Genomic DNA, 17,178 nt, shown 5'->3' with positions numbered 1-17,178 from the left:
CTAGTGACTTAATTCTTGTTTGACTTTTTCCTTCCTTCTTAGGAAATACAGCAAGCTCAGAGAAGGGGAAAGAGTTGGTTTACTTTAAGTTGGTGCTTTGTCATTCTCGTGAAGATGAAAACAGTGGAGGATTTTTAAAGTGGTTTCATTATAAAATGGCTTTATTTCCTTTGAACTGTTACGAGTTTCCAGAGCATACTACATTAGTCATCTAATATCTACTGCTCAGATAATGCTACAAAACACACTTCATTTTGGATTATCTACATTGTTAACTTCTTGAACACAGATATTCACAGTTGGCTAAGAATAAGGAAAAGGAAAGTGGAGTTTAAAGATTAGGGGCAATGAGATATAGTGAAAGGCTTAACTAGCCTTTGACTTATTACCAGTAAACAAATATTTGTTTTCCATTTACAACATGTGTTATCCTGGGCAAGTGATTTCATTTCTGAGCCTTTGCTTTTTTATTTGTAAAACGAAGCATCATGACTTCAGTTGTCTGCCTTATGATCACCAGATTGGGTAGACTGTTAACACTGGGGGCCCCCATGAACCATACCTGGTATTTGCACTCTTGTGTAGTTAGTCCTCTCCCACACTGACTCTGGGCCGATGTGATTTGGCCCAGAGGACATTTGTCAAGCAGAGGCTTAAGGATTTGCACATCAGGGCTTGCCCTCTTGGAACATTTGCTCTTGGCACCCTAAGCTACTGTGTAGAGAGGTCTGGTTACTCTGCTGGAGAAACTAGGTGGACAGAAAGATGTCTGGCCAAACCCAGCTTTTTCAGACATGCCAACTGAGCACCAGACATGCATGAAGAAATTATCTGGGATGTCCCAGACTTAGTAGATACTACACTAAGCAGAACGACCCAGCGGAATTCAGAATTGGGAGAAAGTGTTTTAAGCCGCTAACTTTGGGGGTAGTTTGTTGTGCACAGGGTTCTGTGGTGTGCTGGATGCCCTTTAAAAAACCTCATGAAAAACTAAATTTGTAATTGGTCAGGGCCAGGTATAGTGGCCTTCCTGTTACATATTTTATTCATGCAACCGACATTTGAGTTCTATAATACAGTGGTGAGTGTGGCATAGATATGTGCTTTCATGGAGTTCTCCAATGGATGAGATCAATAAACAGGAAACAATAAAAAATAAGCTGGGGACACCATGGAACCATCCTGTCCTCTCTTTCTGTGGCTCACAACCTCATTTTGCCTTTATGAATAACCCAGTGAACAACCTTAGCAGTCAGAATAGGCAAGTTGTGTTGATACAATGAACAATCCTAAAACCTCAAATGATTGAAAAACCACAAAAGTTTTTATCTTATACATGTTTCTTAGGACCACAAAGGCTCTGCTCCACATCATCTTCAGTGATACAGGTTGATGTATCCTGTCTCCATCATTTCTGGAGTGTTGCCAGTCTATGGAAAAGGAAAGGAATGTGAAGAATTGCTCTTAAAAAGTTATCACATTTTTCTTGGCCAAAGTATCACATGGCCATGCCTAACTTTAATAGGGCAGAGAGGCAATCCCTAATCCTGTGCTGGGAGGAAAGAAAACCAAAAATAGTTTTTGAATCAACAATCACTACCAGCAAACATTCAGTCTCTCTAGCTTAATTCCTTAGGAGCTGGATTTTGTGACAATTTTGGGTTTCAGATCTTTTGATATGTCTTTTCTTGCCACCTTCACCTGTAACCAGCAAGCTAAAACTTAAAGGGTGGAAGGGAGGAGAGTTTATTGAGTACCTACCCTCTGCAGGGCAATGTGCCAATGTACAAATGTACTGCATTTCTTCACATCTTTCAGACTTCACTTTGGCTAGTGTAAGATAGATCATTCATCAGCTTTAGTGCTGTATACAGGACTGACTAATGAAGAAATTGTGACAGCATGGAGATAGAAGAAAAAGGAAAATCAATATAATTTTAGAACTGGAATGTGACTAAGATCGTTAAATCTAACCTTTTGAACTTAGGATGAGACAAGGTTCTACTCTATATTGTCCCAGCTCTGAGCTTAAAACTGAGGGGAAAAAAAAGATATCACTGAGTAATGGTAGAAGTTCACCAGTAACTATCAGTCATGCTAGCTCCCCCTAATTGTTTTCTGTCTCTAGATGTTTATGCCTAAGACTTCGCATGTTGGGGTTGAGACCTTAAAAGTGAGAAAATCTATATACTTCTCTTTTGTCTTAAAATTGTGTGCAAATTCTGCAATACATCTTAGATTTAATCTTTAAAAACCTTTTCTGCTGGGCATGATGGCTCACGCGGGTAACCCAGCATTTTGGGAGGCTGACGTGGGTGGATCACTTGAGGTCAAGAGTTTGATACCAGCCTGGCCAACACGGTGAAACCCCGTCTCTACTAAAAATACAAAAATTAGCGGGCATGGTAGTGTGTACACCTGTAGTCCCAGCTACTCAGGAGGCTGAGGCACGAGTCATTTGAACCCAGGAGGCAGAGGTTGCAGTGAGCCGAGATTGTGCCATTCAGCCTGGGTGACAGAGGCTGAACAACAAAAAAAAGGGTGAAAAAAAACAAACAAAAAAAACCCAAAACCTTTTCTGACCTAACCTTCCACTAAAATAGCTAGATATAGATCTTCAGCTGGAGAAACCCAAGGCCTGAAAGGCTTGGTGTCTTTCCTGGATTAGTAGTGTAGCAGTATAGCATATGACCCTAGAATTAAGGAGCCCCAAATTTGCATCTGGATTTTCAGATTCTGGAAGAAGAACCTGGACTCTTCTAGTCATGTGCTCTTGGACAAGTTATTCAACCTTTCTGAGCCTCAGCTTTCTCCTCTCTACAATGAGATAATTACAGTACTTTTAGAATTAAAAGATAGTTTAGGGGAGTGAGAGATCACCTCCAACCCTCCCTCCCCTTTGCTCTTATGTGGGCTCTTTGGTTGAATCTAGGAACCAAATTGACACATGGCAGATTAACAAGAGAAAAGCATACTAATTTTACTAGTTTTACATGTACATGGGGATCCGCACAAAAGAGTGAAGTGGCCAATGTAAGATGCCTTTATACTTTTTACACGAACTACAAATCAGAAGAAAGGGGATCTGGCTAGGGGCAGTAAATTTCTCGCGGAGTCATTAGGAGAAAAGTGTGTGTGTTGGGGTGTAAACTTAGTGGAAGATAACGGTTACTTCGGAAAGTATATTCAGGTCCAAAGCAGCCCCCAGTTTCGTCTCTGGTGATAGGTGCTATTTTCTCCCTCTGGTAAGGGACGGGTACTCCAGAGGAATCCTGGAGGAAGCTTTATGGCTTGCTGCATGCAGGAAGAGATAGGTCATCAAACCTTTTCTGAAACTACAATTTCTCCAATATTTTCAACTCGAAATAATCAATGTACCAATTCCATATATTTTTGGGATGGCACATCCATCAGTCCTTCAATAGAAAGTAAGACGATGCCCTTAAAACATTTAGCTTCCTGCCTGGCACAAAGAGCTGAATTAATACTGTCCACGCTCCCATAGCTATTAACAGCAAATAACAGAACCCAGCTTTAAGCCTTGGTCTCCTAATTCCTGACCTGTGTTCTTCCCATCACATCACAACCAATACTTCTTAGAATGTAGCACGCAAAATGCCCCGCCTACTCCATTGGCCTCACCCTGGCCGAGAGGTGCTTACGCAGGTGCTGAACGGCAGTCGTCAGAACTGCGCCTGCGCAAGCGGCCTTTCTCTGTTCGCGATGTGACGTAACGCGCCTGCGGACTGGGCCCAGCTTGTCCTCTATGACTTACCCAGAAGGCAACGCTTCTCTTTCTGGTCAAAATGGCTGGTAAGCAGGCCGGTAAGTAACTGGGGGTCTTCTTGGCCGGCATCGTCGCGCTTCACCGTTTATTTTTGCTGCAGCTTGCTCCGTTTTCTCTCTTCTTTGTAAGTGGCCAAGTTTGTCGCGGAAGGGAAATTGGCTGCTTCAGTCCAGTGAAAAGGATGTGCTTCCCCACTCGTTTGCTGTCCCCAGGGCGGGCTTGCCTGTATAGGGTTGGGATGTTAACCCGCTGTTTGTGAAGGTGCCCGCGGTGGCTCTGACAGCCCTGGAGTTCCAGCTGCCCGTGCTTGGAAGTCCTTCCCCTTGGCCTTAGAAAAGTTAAAGGGCACAAGAGGATAACTAGTGGATGACTTTCAACCCGAATGAGCTCAGTGCTTTCTATGACCCAAGTGCTCTATCGTGTGCATTGGCCCTATAAATTTTCTTGCCATTGCGACGAGGGAGATATTAATTTCCCTTTTACGCTGATAAGATAACTGAGGCAAAGTGACCCAAGGAAGTAGAATTGGAAATATCATTGCACCCCTCGCGCTTCTCAAACTGCGAATCAGAGACAGTTGAGCAAGGGATACGAGCGACGCTTCAGGTTGACCTTGGATTATCTAGAGCGTCAGCTTGATCAGTAGGTTTGGAGAAATTTGAATTTATTGTAGGTTCTTTTTTTCTTTTTTCTTTCTTTTTTTTTTTTTTTGCTAATCTCTGCCCTCTGGCGGTACAAGTTGGAGTAGCCGTTTTGTTTGTTTGTTTGTTTTGTCTTTGAGACGGAGTCTTGCTTTGTCGCCCAGGCTGGAGTGCAATGGCACAATCTCGTCTCACTGCAATGCAACCAAGTTGGAGTAGCTTAAAAAATGTTGATCCTTTTCTCCCCGCCCCCAGCAATTGTGAAGCTGTTAGGAAACATCAGGTTGCCAGAAACATCCGTTAACCTAATTGACATTGAGCTTTTTGGGGGTGGGGGAGACTTTTTAAATAATTATTTTATTAATTTGGCAGATATTGAAGGAGTCTTACTAAATTCAAGACACTGCTTCTGTGCGTGTTTGGGAACTACATAGACCAGATCTCAACTCCCATTAGCTAACTCTGACCTTGGGTGGGATCACTTCTGTAAGCCAGCTTCCCCTTCTGTAGTAACAGACATGTAAATAAATCAGCTAATGTTGGTAAAGCAAATAGGAAAGTGTTTGGTGCACAATAAGTGCTTAGTGAATATTATTATAGTCACTGATAGGTGGTTGAATATAATCTGTCTTCCACAAGTATGTTTGTAGATTGTTGACTGATACTTGTTTTTCTAGCAGCAGTTTTATACATGACTCTTAATTTCCAAGGAGATTTGCTAAAGCCACGTAATCTGTAGTGCACTGAGTTTGCAAGCAAGGAGAGTTGAGTGAAAGGAGAGTTTGCTTTCCTTCCTTGGTAAGGGCTAACCCTAGACAAAATTTTAAAAGAGAATACAAACCTGTTCTACCTCTCCTTTTGTAAAATGTCTCTCCTAAAATGTCAGATACGGTCCTGCTGTACTTGGACCCTGCTGGGTTACTTCATCAGGCTCAGCCCTGTTCCCCAAACAGTTTTAAAATTACCTATTTCTCATCCTTTTTCAATATCCATTCCCTTGGGGGGAACTTAGTTGCTTAGGAGGAGGTAAATGGACTTCTTTTACGAATCCATATTAATGTTTAAATGACTAATGGTATCAAAATCCTCCCCAAAATACATACATTTTTAAAGAATGTGGCCAAATGAAATAACTGTAATATCGAGTAAAAATTTTAGAGGATGAGGGTCATTTAGACCTGCCAGTCTATGCTGAAATCTCACTGTCTTTTCCCTACAACTCCAGCTCTCTTGAAATGAAAAGTTTACAATTATTTCCTGTGATCTATTTATGAAACTACAAATGATGGAAATTTCCAAGTCCTTTTCCTATCTCCCACCCCTTCATTTCTGAAGGTAACAGGGCAGGCATAAGGGCACACGATGTACCTATGGATCTTTTGTACATTCAGTGTTTGAGTTTACCCTTTTCTTTCATGACTTGCCACCATTTTCCTGCAACCACTTTTGCTCATAAATAAAATAAGCACTTTTTATCAACATTTTATAGAGTATAAACTTTTTTCTTTTAAATCTAATTCTTTTGATTAAATTCTTGCTGTATATACTATATACTTTTAAAAGGAAATTTATTTCTATGTTTGCATTCATCAGCAAGATAACTGAGTACTGGTTGCTTGCCTATCAATGTGTTCATATAGTATAATTAAATTGTAGCAATTAACAGTGTGACAATTATCAGTTTCAGCATCAGGCAAGTGGCTGGATGGTATTCGAAAATGGTATTACAATGCTGCAGGATTCAATAAACTGGGTAAGCAGCTGTGCTGTTTAATGTTTTTTGTTGTTGTTGTTGTTTCTTTGTTTTTTTTTTTGTTTTTCTGAGAGTATTGCTTTTGCAAGTGTTACTGTGGTTCCAAAAACCATTTCAGTTCTTGTATACATCAGAAGATTTTAAAATTAAATCACATTATGTTAAATCCAGTTCCTTTTTAAAGTTTTTTTGAGAGAAGAGGGATGAAAGCCTCTAAAATGTTCGACTTGGTAATGATTTAAGTAGTAAGACATTTTCCTTCTACACCCCCTTTCCCAACTCTTCCACTTAAAATTTTATTTATTTATTTATTTATTTATTTGAGACAGAGTCTTGCTCTGTCACCAGGCTGGAGTGCAGTGGCGCAATCACGGTTCACTGCAACCTCCGCCTCCCGAGTTCAAGTGATTCTCCTGCCTCAGCCTCCTGAGTAGCTGGGATTACAGGCGTGTGCCACCACGCCTGGCTAATTTTTTTTGTATGTAGTAGAGACGGGGTTTCACCATATTAGGCTGGTCGCAAACTCCTGACCTCAGGTGATCCACCTGCCTCGGCCTCCCAAAGTGCTGGGATTATAGGTGTGCACTACTGCGCCCGGCCTTCCACTTAAAATTTTAATTTAAATTATATAAACATTGAAAGTAGAGAGTTTTTGAATATTAAAATTTTATCACGTCCATGCAATCATATGATTCCTAAGCTTTTTTAGAACTTTGTAATTTACCATGAACTTCATCTTTTACTATTGAAGCTTGAAGAAAGTGTAAGCAAAAGTCACTGTTCCTTAGTATACTATCATTTTAAGATTCTTTAATACCTTGATCTCAGATTTAAACTATGAGAAAAAAGAGATGTGGTTTATTAATGTGTGTTTAAAAACAAAGTAAACATTTAAAATATTTTGTAAATGGTTTAGATAAAATATGAATTTTGTGGCATTGGATTTTAAGAGGCTCATATATTGTTTCCATAGTCTAGTTCAAGAAGTAACCCATTATATCAAGTAATAACTCATTACTTTTAATGGCAAAACTGCAATTACTTTTGCACCAACCTATAATGTATGAAATGCATTGAATTTCCATTGAACCTAGTGATTTGAATTCGATAGTTCACCAAAAGTTGTAAGTTATAAGTCATAAAGGTATTTTACTAATTTAAAAAAACCGCGATTTTTGAGATGCATGTGCAATCTAACTTTGTCATCTATCATAGGGTTAATGCGAGATGATACAATATACGAGGATGAAGATGTAAAAGAAGCCATAAGAAGACTTCCTGAGAACCTTTATAATGACAGGATGTTTCGCATTAAGAGGGCACTGGACCTGAACTTGAAGCATCAGATCTTGCCTAAAGAGCAGTGGACCAAATATGAAGAGGTAGCACAGCTTTATCTACCTGACAGTGTTGCTCATTAAGGATGGAGTTTTAGAAACAAGAGAAACATGTTCATTTGCATAGTGTTAGAGTTCTCTGAGTCATGTCAAATAAATATGTGAGGTTAATAAAGCAAATGTTATTTCCGTTTTAGAAGAAAACCACATTGAGTCTTACGTGTGAAATGATTCTTCTGAAATTACTAAGCAAGTCTCTAATATAGAGAGCCAGGACTAAAATCCAGGTCTGTTGCCTCCCAGGTCTTTGCTGTTCCAGCTCTGCACTCTGCTTCCTACTTAGATGAAAAGATCAGCCCATTGAGTGTCCCTCCAGATCCCAAGAAGAGCTTCTGTGAAGCAAACTCTCACCCCTTGAACTGCATTGAAACTAGGCAAAGGCCTGTGGACATTCATTTCTTTTTCTTCCCGAAAAGACTTCCCCCTCATAACCTATCAAAGCAACTTATCACACCATCACCACAGATTTGACATTTTAAAAAGCAGATAGTTCTTAGGTTGAGAATATGTTTTCTAAAATTGGAAATTCAAAAGTAATTGCTTTTTTCTTGTTATTGAAGACCTGTTGAGTGTTTGGGATATATCAGTACGTGATGGTAACATATAATATTTCATTCATTCTTTAGGAAAATTTCTACCTTGAACCGTATCTGAAAGAGGTTATTCGGGAAAGAAAAGAAAGAGAAGAATGGGCAAAGAAGTAATCATGTAGTTGAAGTCTGTGGATGCAGCTGTTATGAAGATGGTTAAACTTGAAACAAACAATTTTAAGAATTATTTGGTCTGAAGATGTTTTACTTTAAATAAATGTCTATTGTAATGGCTGGAGTTTTTGAATTCCAAACCTTATACTGAATAACTACTGAATCCCTTTACTGTTAAATTTTTTTCCAAACTTTCAAGATATATTTAGTTGTGTTTAACTGCTACTTGGAGCTCAGAAGCCACTTTATCAGTTTTCCTCACTGGTTGGATAGCCTATCAGTTTATGGAAGGATATAACTTCCGTAAGTTACATCCTTATGGAAGCTACTGAATAAAAGAAGGGGGTATGCACCCCCTAGTTTGCCAAGATTGAGAAATAGCCTCTTCACTGGTATGCAAACAGATTTGATTTTGCATCCTATCATTTAAAAAGAAATTATGTCTGCACCCCAACATAGGCATACTTAAGTAATATACATACTCCTGTGCTAACATGTATACTAGAAAACAAAAAGATGTTAGAAAAATAAAAGTATAAAGACAAATCATACTGTCCCCATATCCCAGTGACTTTTCCACTTTGGAAATGATTGTTATGAAGTTTAAGGGTTGGATACTAGTCAGTTAAAAGTTTTAAGATTATAGGGTAATTTTTAAAAATATAAATTAGAATCATTGGCAAGGCATGGTGGCTCATGCCTGTAATCCCAGCACTTTGGGAGGCCGAGGCGGGCGGGTCACCTGAAGTCAGGAATTTGAGACCAGCCTGGCCAACATGGTGAAACCCTGTCTCTACTAAAAATACAAAAAATTAGCTAGGCGTGATGGTAGGCACCTGTAATCCCAGCTACTCGGGAGGCTGAGGGAGGAGAATTGCTTGACCCCAGGAGGTGGAGGTTGCAGTGAGCCTAGATCACACCACTGCACTTCAGCCTGAGCGACATTGACTGTCTCAAAAAAAAAATTAGGATTATTCAATGTTGTCATCATTTCCACTCCTAAATTCTGAAATGCTTTCTTTGGTAGAGGTGAGAGTGTGGAGCCACAGCTAGTAGAGAAGGAACAGTAGGACCTGCAGCCTCCCTGGTTTTCCAGGACAAGTCATTGCTGTGTGTGGCAGGAATGCCTTACCTCAAATAACAAAACAGTGTGAAAAACGAATTTGTGTTACATTTAAAGTTTGTAAAGCAATGAGAAATGTGTGTATCATAAAGAGCATCTTTAAATTTTTGCTAAAATATTAGCCTCTTAAATTCTCTAGGAACCCCCTCCCCCGCTTTTTTTTTTCCTTTCGCTGGTCGTTATTTTTCTAAACCTATCCTGAAATCATGTCAATTTTCTTTTGTATGGTTGAAGACAACTAGATCACTTGATAATGGTTTTGCTCAGGTCACATTGTGACAAGGTTTTAATGTAGTCCTACTTTGCAGAAGGAGGCCAAGAAGATGGGCTGTCTAGAACCCCCTTTAAAAGCATTTGTCTATTCAGAAAATTTTCCTGAGTAGATCTCTGCAAAGGCTCTTTTAATAGTGATTTCAAGATCACGTTTGCAGGACTCTGGTCTATTCGTTCAGACGTCTACTGTGCACAATTACAAGGAGACTACAACTGAGGCATCTCAAAGAGCACTGTCAAGGTGTGTAGGGAGCCGGGTGGGTGGAGGGAGGCTGGGCTCTGACCCTAGAAACCATGCTTATGAATGCTGTTAATGTTTAAAGCAAGCCTAAGGGCACTGCTGAAGGACAGGGGAACAAATAGAACTGACCAAGACTGAGGTATAACAGGAACCCCCAGGCTATCCACCTGCTCAAGGTAAAGTGTGGTATTACATAAGGCAACCTCTGATTTTGTAAGAGTTCTTCCTAAAGCCAAAGTGTATGCCTATTCTATGTTTCCAGATTACTTCATTCTTCTAAATGAGAACAAGTGTGCAAAAGTTCTTTGAACACTAGATCAATGTTTTGTGTTCATTATAAATTATGGTTATCGTCCTGCTTGTTATGAAGACTAAGAAAGTAGATCTAGTATTTGGCTCACACAGGTGAATGGGTGAGAATTTGTTAATCCATCAGTGAAGTCCTTTCATTTGAAAGAGAGGGCCTTTCTATTATCAAAAGCCGTCCTGTGTGGAAAATCACCATGAGAGTGCCTGAAACACAGGCACTCTGCATTGTCCTGTAGACCAAATCTACATTGTCCTGTAGTCTGGTCTACATTGTCCTGTAGACCGAATGGTAGAGTGATTCAGAGCTAATTCTGGGTTAGACTGCACAGGTCTGAATCTATTTGCTCACTGTGTAGTGCTTTAGGAATACAATTTAACCTCTCCGTGCTTCAGTTTGTTTGTCCCTAAGATAGAGCTAATGATAGAAACCTACTTCACCCAGTTGTGAAAATTAACTGACTGCATGTCAAGCACTAACAGTTTCTGGCATATAGTATGCATAATGTAAATTATGTGCTGAGAAGCGAGAAAGAATAACTTGGGAAAACGCTGAATATCATCAATGTCGAATAGCTAACCAGTAGCTAAGGTCCAAGGTCTCCTCTCTTCCTTCTATGTGGCACTCTTGTTTCTGGTTCATCTACTCCCCTTGGGTGTCACCTCCTTGAGTGAAGTACCTGCTGGAGATGAGAAGAGTGGAACTGGATCTGCATGACAGCTTTGATTAGGATGGAGCTAAGACTTGGCTATCTCCCTGTTTTGTGTTTTGGATGGGTGACATTTTAAAACTGCCAATATTCAAATCCTGCTAATTTGCTTTGTACAGTTTAAAATGTTTGATATCTTTTGTTGTTTAAAGTTTGAGATTGGTTTTGAATATACAGTTTTCCTACATCTTGAAGAAAGTTATGTTTGTTTACTCTGAAGTGGTCTATGTTCTGTTTGTTTGTTTTACTATACTTTGCAAAAAAACAGATGGCTGGCTTATGTTCACTGTTGTAGTGCACTACCTAGTATCACTTGGCCTTCCTGTTGTCAAGATGTAGGAAGCAGCGTAAGGGATGTCGGGCCTTCAGACCCCCAATTGCCAGCTGTGGTCCTAGTTCCAGATTGCATGGAAATATTTGATAACATTCCTGCACTGAGTTATCATGGTCTGAATATTTATGTGACGCTCTACGAGTGGTACCAAAATGTTAGTGATGGAGTTTTTACTAATGGCACCTTTTCCTGTTTTTAAATTCTAGAATCTTAATAAATCCAAAGTGTACATTTTGGTAGTGATTTCATTTAGTTATTTACTTTAAGGACTCCCTTTTCAAGCATTAACTCTGCACTAATTTTGACTTATGAAAAGATTCAGCAGTAAGAATAAAAACTGGGCCAAAGCCCAAAGTAATAATCCTTCACAAATAGGATGGAGTTTTAAAAATATGGGCATCCTGTGTGTAGCTTTGAAAATAACCAAACTACTTGGAATTAAAAAGTTAGGTGAACATGAAGATTGTCATAACCAAATCCTTGACAGCTTGATGGATGAAGAGCAGATGGGTTTATGGTGTATGGGAGGAAGCATGGATTTTAGGAGGGACAGTATCAGAGAGGGATGGTTAGAAAGTGAGTAAGACAGGTTGCTCTTTGGAAAACAAGGAAAATCCCTTTATTAGAACAAGGCATGAAATTCTGCCACTAGGTGGCGATGCCCTATAACTTTACAACTTAGTGTACATCACACGAGCACTATGGAAGATTTCTCCATTCTGCGCCCCACCAACTCCCTCCCCTCCTTCATTTTTCAGGATGACAACACCTTAGAGGTTTATGGCCATCAGGAGAATTTACTACTAAGCTATATACTGATGTAATGAAATCTAATATATGTTGTGCAATGAATTATGAGATGTTATTTAGTTTCAGGATTTTATTACTTCAATCAGTTATGACCATATTTCCTTTTATATGATTGCTCACTCTTTAAACATACCAGATGACTGTATAAGGAACACCTAATAAAGTCTATAGATGTTAAAATATTTTAAATGTTTTAATTTATATGCCATAATTTGTTTACATTCTGGTTATACTGGCGTTCATATTAAAAGCCATAACATGTTAGAATCTGAGATCTCAGGTCGGATAGTGCCTCTAAGTTATATTTTGCTAAGAAATTTTATTGTATTAGCAATTGAGCAAGAAAGAAGAACTGAATCATTATACGGTGGTTAATTTTTAGCATAGATGTCAGAAAGCCTGTTAATATTCCAGAGGCTTATGATAAACTATTTAAATTGTCATTCTGGATTCTGATTATATCTCCTACAAAGAAAGAGTGTATTATTTATTGAACTTTTTGTTTGAATACATGTGCCTATTTTTGCATAAATGTAAAAATGTAATTTTAAAATAAACCCCTGAAAACTTCTGGTAACATTATCCAGTTGAATAATTGTTCTGTTAGTATTCTAAATATTTTAAGAAAATTGTATACATATCTGTGACAATTGTATTCACAAGCCAAACCAAAAAAAGATAATTATTTGTTTTACAAAGGAGTCAGCTTACAATTTTTCTCTTATGCATGCATTTAAAATGTGGTTTGCCATTAAACTGGAAACACTGATCTGAGGCCAATGATTTAGGCAAGTCATTAGTCTAAAGATTGGCTTCCTCAGCTAGAAAATGAAGGGCTTTGACTAAAAAGTCTTTTTCATTTCAGTACCAAAACATTCTGGGTCTGTGATTTAACTTACGCTCTTTATTGTTGGGATGAACTAATACTGATGGAATACTAGCTTTGTACTAGGCACTGTTCGTATGTTGTCTCTTTTAATCCTCCCTGCAACCTTCTGGCATGGCTATTATAATGCCCATTGTATGGAAGAAGAAATTAGGCTTCGAAAGTCCATTTTATGCTTGTTCATTACATAATTTTCTGGATTTTTTAAATTGATGTATGTGTTTATGTTCCAGGCTAGGCAGAAGCTAGGAAGAATATAGCAGCCTCGTCACTGTTGAAATCTGGGGCTAGATAATTCTTTGTTGTGGGGGCCTCCTCTGTGTGTTACAGGATATTTAGCAGCATCCTGGCTTCTACACGATAGGTACCAGTAGCGCCTCCTGCCTCCAACTGTAACAACCAAAAATGTTTTGAGACATTGTCTGGAAATGTTCCCCTGGGGGAGCAGAATTGCTCCCAGCTAAAAACCACCAGTGTAGGGAATACAGAGAAAAACCAAGATGGTAGAGACAGGTATGTAATCAGATGCATGAATATGTAAACATAGATGTACATACTGTGTGAATTGTCCACAAAAAATATGTACTGGGTACTATGGAAACATGGAGAAGGTAAACTAACTAAACCTGGATGGGAATCAGGGCCTCTGATAATGTGGCTGATTCCAGAACAGTAAGCAAAGTTAGCTAAGCCAAGAAGATGGTGAAGGGCTTTCCAAGCAGAAGAAAATGAGCAGGAAATGCTCAAAGGCATGGAAGTGCAGGATGTATGTCTAGGGAAGGACAGGCAGTTTTGCACTGATGGAGTGGCAAATATCAGCTGGAGAGACATGGGAGATGCAACCTGAAAGGTGTACGCCATATTGAGATGCCTGGACTTCATCCTGTGAGCAGCAGAGTGTTTGGATAGATTCTGGGAAGTGAAAATGTTGGGGCAAAGGGGATGAATATTTGAAGTTTTTCAATACTGGACTTCCAATTTGCTTTTCAAAAGTTTATAATAATTTATATTCATCTAAGCAATCACGAGGGTCCCTTTATTGCATTCCTGCCTGCACTGAGTGCTCTCATTAAAAGCAATCTTTGTGAATTTGGTTGGAGAGTTTCTTGTTTAAACTTGCATTTCTTGGATTGAGTAGCTAGACGTTTTTCCATATGCTATTATCAAGTTGTTATTTCTCTTTCATCAATCTTGTTCATGTCCTTCACCTATGGGCCTATTTTTAATTTTCACAGCCTTTTCCTTATTTGTTTAGTTTTCCTCTTAGCTCCCTCTTCCCCCTTCCCAAACCTGGGTCAGTTCTTATCTATTTGTATGAGACCTTTATATGTTTAGATAGTACCCCTTTTACTTACATTTGCTGAAATGATATTTTTATTTCATCGTTTGAATTTTATTTGAGGTTTTTTGGATGCCTTTTCAACTTTGTTCATGGTGGGTTTTGTCAAATGGAAGTTTCTGATTTTTATGTAGTACAAACTCTCAGTCCTCTCCTCTGTGGTTTTGCCTCTGAGGTCATGCTTTGAGAAGTCCTCTCTTTACTCCAAGTTTTCATAAATATCCAGCAAGGTTTCATCCAGTACTTTTAGGTATAAGAAACAAAACCATAAATCTTCAATCCCTCTGGAGTTTAGGGATATGGTGTGAGCAGAGTATATTTTTGAGAGATACTAAGAAGTCCAGTTGGCCTGACTGGATATCAGTTAGATGTGTAAGAGGTGGATGTGAGGAAGGGTAAAAGAGAGAGGTCCGGAGGGGCTCCACAAACACGGGTCTGTTGAGGGTGATGCAGCCTGGTAATCAGCCCCTTCTGTGGCTTCTCATTCTGTGAGACGTTGGCTGTGCTGCATATTCTAAATCTACTCTTGTCCCTTCTGGATTCAGCTCTGTACCCCAGGAGAGATAAATTGATGTAAAGACTGCACAAATAGACACTTTTGCCTTCTGGCTTCTGGCTTGGGCTTGGCCAGCCAGTGTGGGGAGGGTGGCCACCTGCAAGAGAGGGCAGATGAGAGAGACAGAGATATTTATTCCCCAGCCCACGTTCCTCTGAAGAAAGCTACAGCTCCTGTCAGGCAGCCCCTCTCAAGATTCCTACAGCTCTCCCTTCCATCCCTCCCCACTCTGCTATCTCTATCAAAGTTGGTTCTCCTTGACCTTGCCTGCCGTTTGTTAATTGTCCCTTCATTGGACATTCTTTGGTTTGCCTGATTGGGTGTGCCACACTTTCCTGCCAGGACTCTGACTCACACAGAACTGGGCTGCCCTTGAGAATGGCTAGGTTGCCCCATGAGAGCACCAAGTGCTGCTACTTGGAACTGGTTTGTGGTCAGTTCCTGGAAAACCAAAGCTTGCTTCTTTGAGGTAAGCTAACTCATGCCCCAGAGTCAGACTCCAGGAGACCACACTAGTTCCAGTTGAAGGGAGTGGCCTTCCAAAGCCTGGCTTCTACCACCCCCACCTGTCTGCCTCTACCCATGATAGATCTGCTTCCAATCAGAGACTTACTCTTCTACACAATTTAATGCAGGTAAATGCCAGTGCTAAAAAGATGCCATATGATAGAAAACAGAAGGTTTGTCCATTCTGAAAACATTGTGTTCTCTTTCCTCCTGTTTTAACTCCCTCTTCCCCAAACACATTCTGCAAAATTCTACCTCTAACCTTTTTTCCTTCTATTCTCAGTCCCCTGCAATGGCACTTGCAATCCTCACCATACTCTGTCTAAATTCTAGCTTTACTTTAAGACAAAAATTAAATTCTGCCTACTGAGAGAAGCTCTTTGTCAACCCCAGGCACTTGACATTTCTATTTTCTTTGACTTTGTAAAGCACTTACTACTTCAACCAATCATTTACTATTTAACAATAATAAATACTATTTACCTAGTGTTCACTGTGGGCCATTTCAGGTTTCATTTATTCCTTGAAAATTTTTCCAAGGTGAGCACAATTATCCTCTTTTCATAGAGGCTCAGACATGTTAGGTAACGGGTACAAGATCACACTTTGCAAGTGAGCAAATGGAAAGTTAAATTCTGTCTTCCTTGAAATTGCTATGTTGTCTTTTCTTTTTTATTTAAGGTGTACAGCATGATGTTTTGATACAAATATACATAGTGAAATGATTACTACAGGCAAGCAAATTAAAATATCCATTACCACGATAGTACTTTGTGTATGTGTGTCTGGTGAGCACCTAAAATCTACACTTTCAGCAAATTTTTAGTGTACAATATAATTATAGTCACCATGCTGTACATGAAATCTCTAGACCTGTTCATCTTGTATAATTGCAAGTTTGTGTATCCTTTGACCTACCTCTCCCCATTTCCTGATCCTTCCCACTCTGGAAACCACCATTCTTCTCTGTTTCTATGTATTTGACATGTTTTAGATTGCACAAATAAATAAGATCATGCAGTATTTCTCTTTCTGTGTCTGGCTTATTTCAGTTAGCATAATGTCTTCCAGGTCATCCATGTTGTCACAAATGGCAGTATCTTATTATTTTTTAAGGCTTAATAACATACCATTGTGTGTGTGTGTGTGTGTGTGTGTGTGTGTGTGTGTGTGTGACAATTTTTTCATTCATCTGTTGGCAGACACTGGTTGTTTCCATGTCTTTACTATTGTGAATAATGCTGCATCGAACATGTGGGCACAGATGCCTTCTGAGATGGTGGTTTCATTTTTTGGAGGTATATATCCAGAACTGGGATTGCTGGATTGCATGGTAGTTCTACTTTTAATTTTTTGAAGAATGTCCATACTGTTTTCCATAATGGCTGCATGAATCTACATTCCCACCAACAGTGCACAAGCACTGTCTTTTCTCTACACCCTCACCAACACTTGTTATCTCCTGTCATTTTCATAGTAGTTACCCTCATAGGTGTAAAAGGATATTTCTTTGTGGTTTTAATTTGCATTTCCCTGATGATTAGTGATAATGAGCACCTTTTCACGTACCTTTTGGCCATTTTCATGTCTTCTTTAGGAAGATGTCTATTCAGGTCCTTTGCCCATGCTTTAATCAGGTTATTTTATTTTTTATTTTGTCTTTTCAACAATGCTGTCCCACACTTACCTTTATTTTTACAAACTCAATTCCATTTTGTACTCATCTTTTGTTTATACTTTTCTTTCTAAACTCTATTTCTTAAATGAAATCTTTAGTTGTGAAAGTAGAGTGATCATGCTGTCTCTGAGGA

General features: G+C 39.3%; 1 protein-coding gene and 1 long non-coding RNA gene across 8 annotated transcripts, besides 1 other annotated feature; one reads left to right on the top strand and one right to left on the bottom strand.

Annotated features, from left to right (window-relative positions):
- UQCRB-AS1 (UQCRB antisense RNA 1) lies at positions 141 to 4,044 on the bottom strand. 4 transcript variants are annotated; one of them, NR_183274.1, is made up of 3 exons: positions 3,776 to 4,044; positions 1,762 to 1,880; positions 141 to 1,430 (listed from the first exon to the last, which is right to left on the bottom strand). It is a non-coding gene; the product is annotated as a UQCRB antisense RNA 1 (long non-coding RNA). The 4 variants fall into 4 exon arrangements; NR_183272.1 differs by lacking the exon at positions 3,776 to 4,044 and adding an exon at positions 3,562 to 3,697; NR_183273.1 differs by lacking the exon at positions 3,776 to 4,044 and adding an exon at positions 3,643 to 3,697.
- Positions 3,786 to 4,065: an enhancer, noted in NCBI's record as "active region_27659". NCBI's record gives its function as "activates an Ori minimal core promoter by ATAC-STARR-seq in GM12878 lymphoblastoid cells {active_cell/tissue: GM12878}" and the evidence as "EXISTENCE:reporter gene assay evidence [ECO:0000049][PMID:35858748]".
- On the top strand, positions 3,792 to 16,390 carry UQCRB (ubiquinol-cytochrome c reductase binding protein). 4 transcript variants are annotated; one of them, NR_045639.2, is made up of 5 exons: positions 3,792 to 3,825; positions 6,110 to 6,181; positions 7,397 to 7,563; positions 7,822 to 8,111; positions 8,205 to 16,390. NR_045639.2 is itself a non-coding variant. In NM_001254752.2 (5 exons), the coding sequence occupies exons 1-5, from the start codon at positions 3,807 to 3,809 to the stop codon at positions 8,230 to 8,232; spliced, it is 423 nt and encodes a 140-aa protein (NP_001241681.1). In that variant the 5' UTR covers positions 3,792 to 3,806; the 3' UTR covers positions 8,233 to 16,390. The 4 variants fall into 4 exon arrangements, 3 of the variants coding, with proteins under 3 accessions (NP_001241681.1, NP_001186904.1, NP_006285.1); NM_001254752.2 differs by having other exon boundaries at positions 7,822 to 7,958; NM_001199975.3 differs by lacking the exon at positions 7,822 to 8,111 and adding an exon at positions 4,801 to 4,914.

This window comes from Homo sapiens, chromosome 8 (assembly GCF_000001405.40).
Source record: "Homo sapiens chromosome 8, GRCh38.p14 Primary Assembly".
NCBI classification, from domain to species: Eukaryota; Metazoa; Chordata; class Mammalia; order Primates; family Hominidae; genus Homo; species Homo sapiens.
This window is presented reverse-complemented; position numbering and strand designations above follow the sequence as displayed.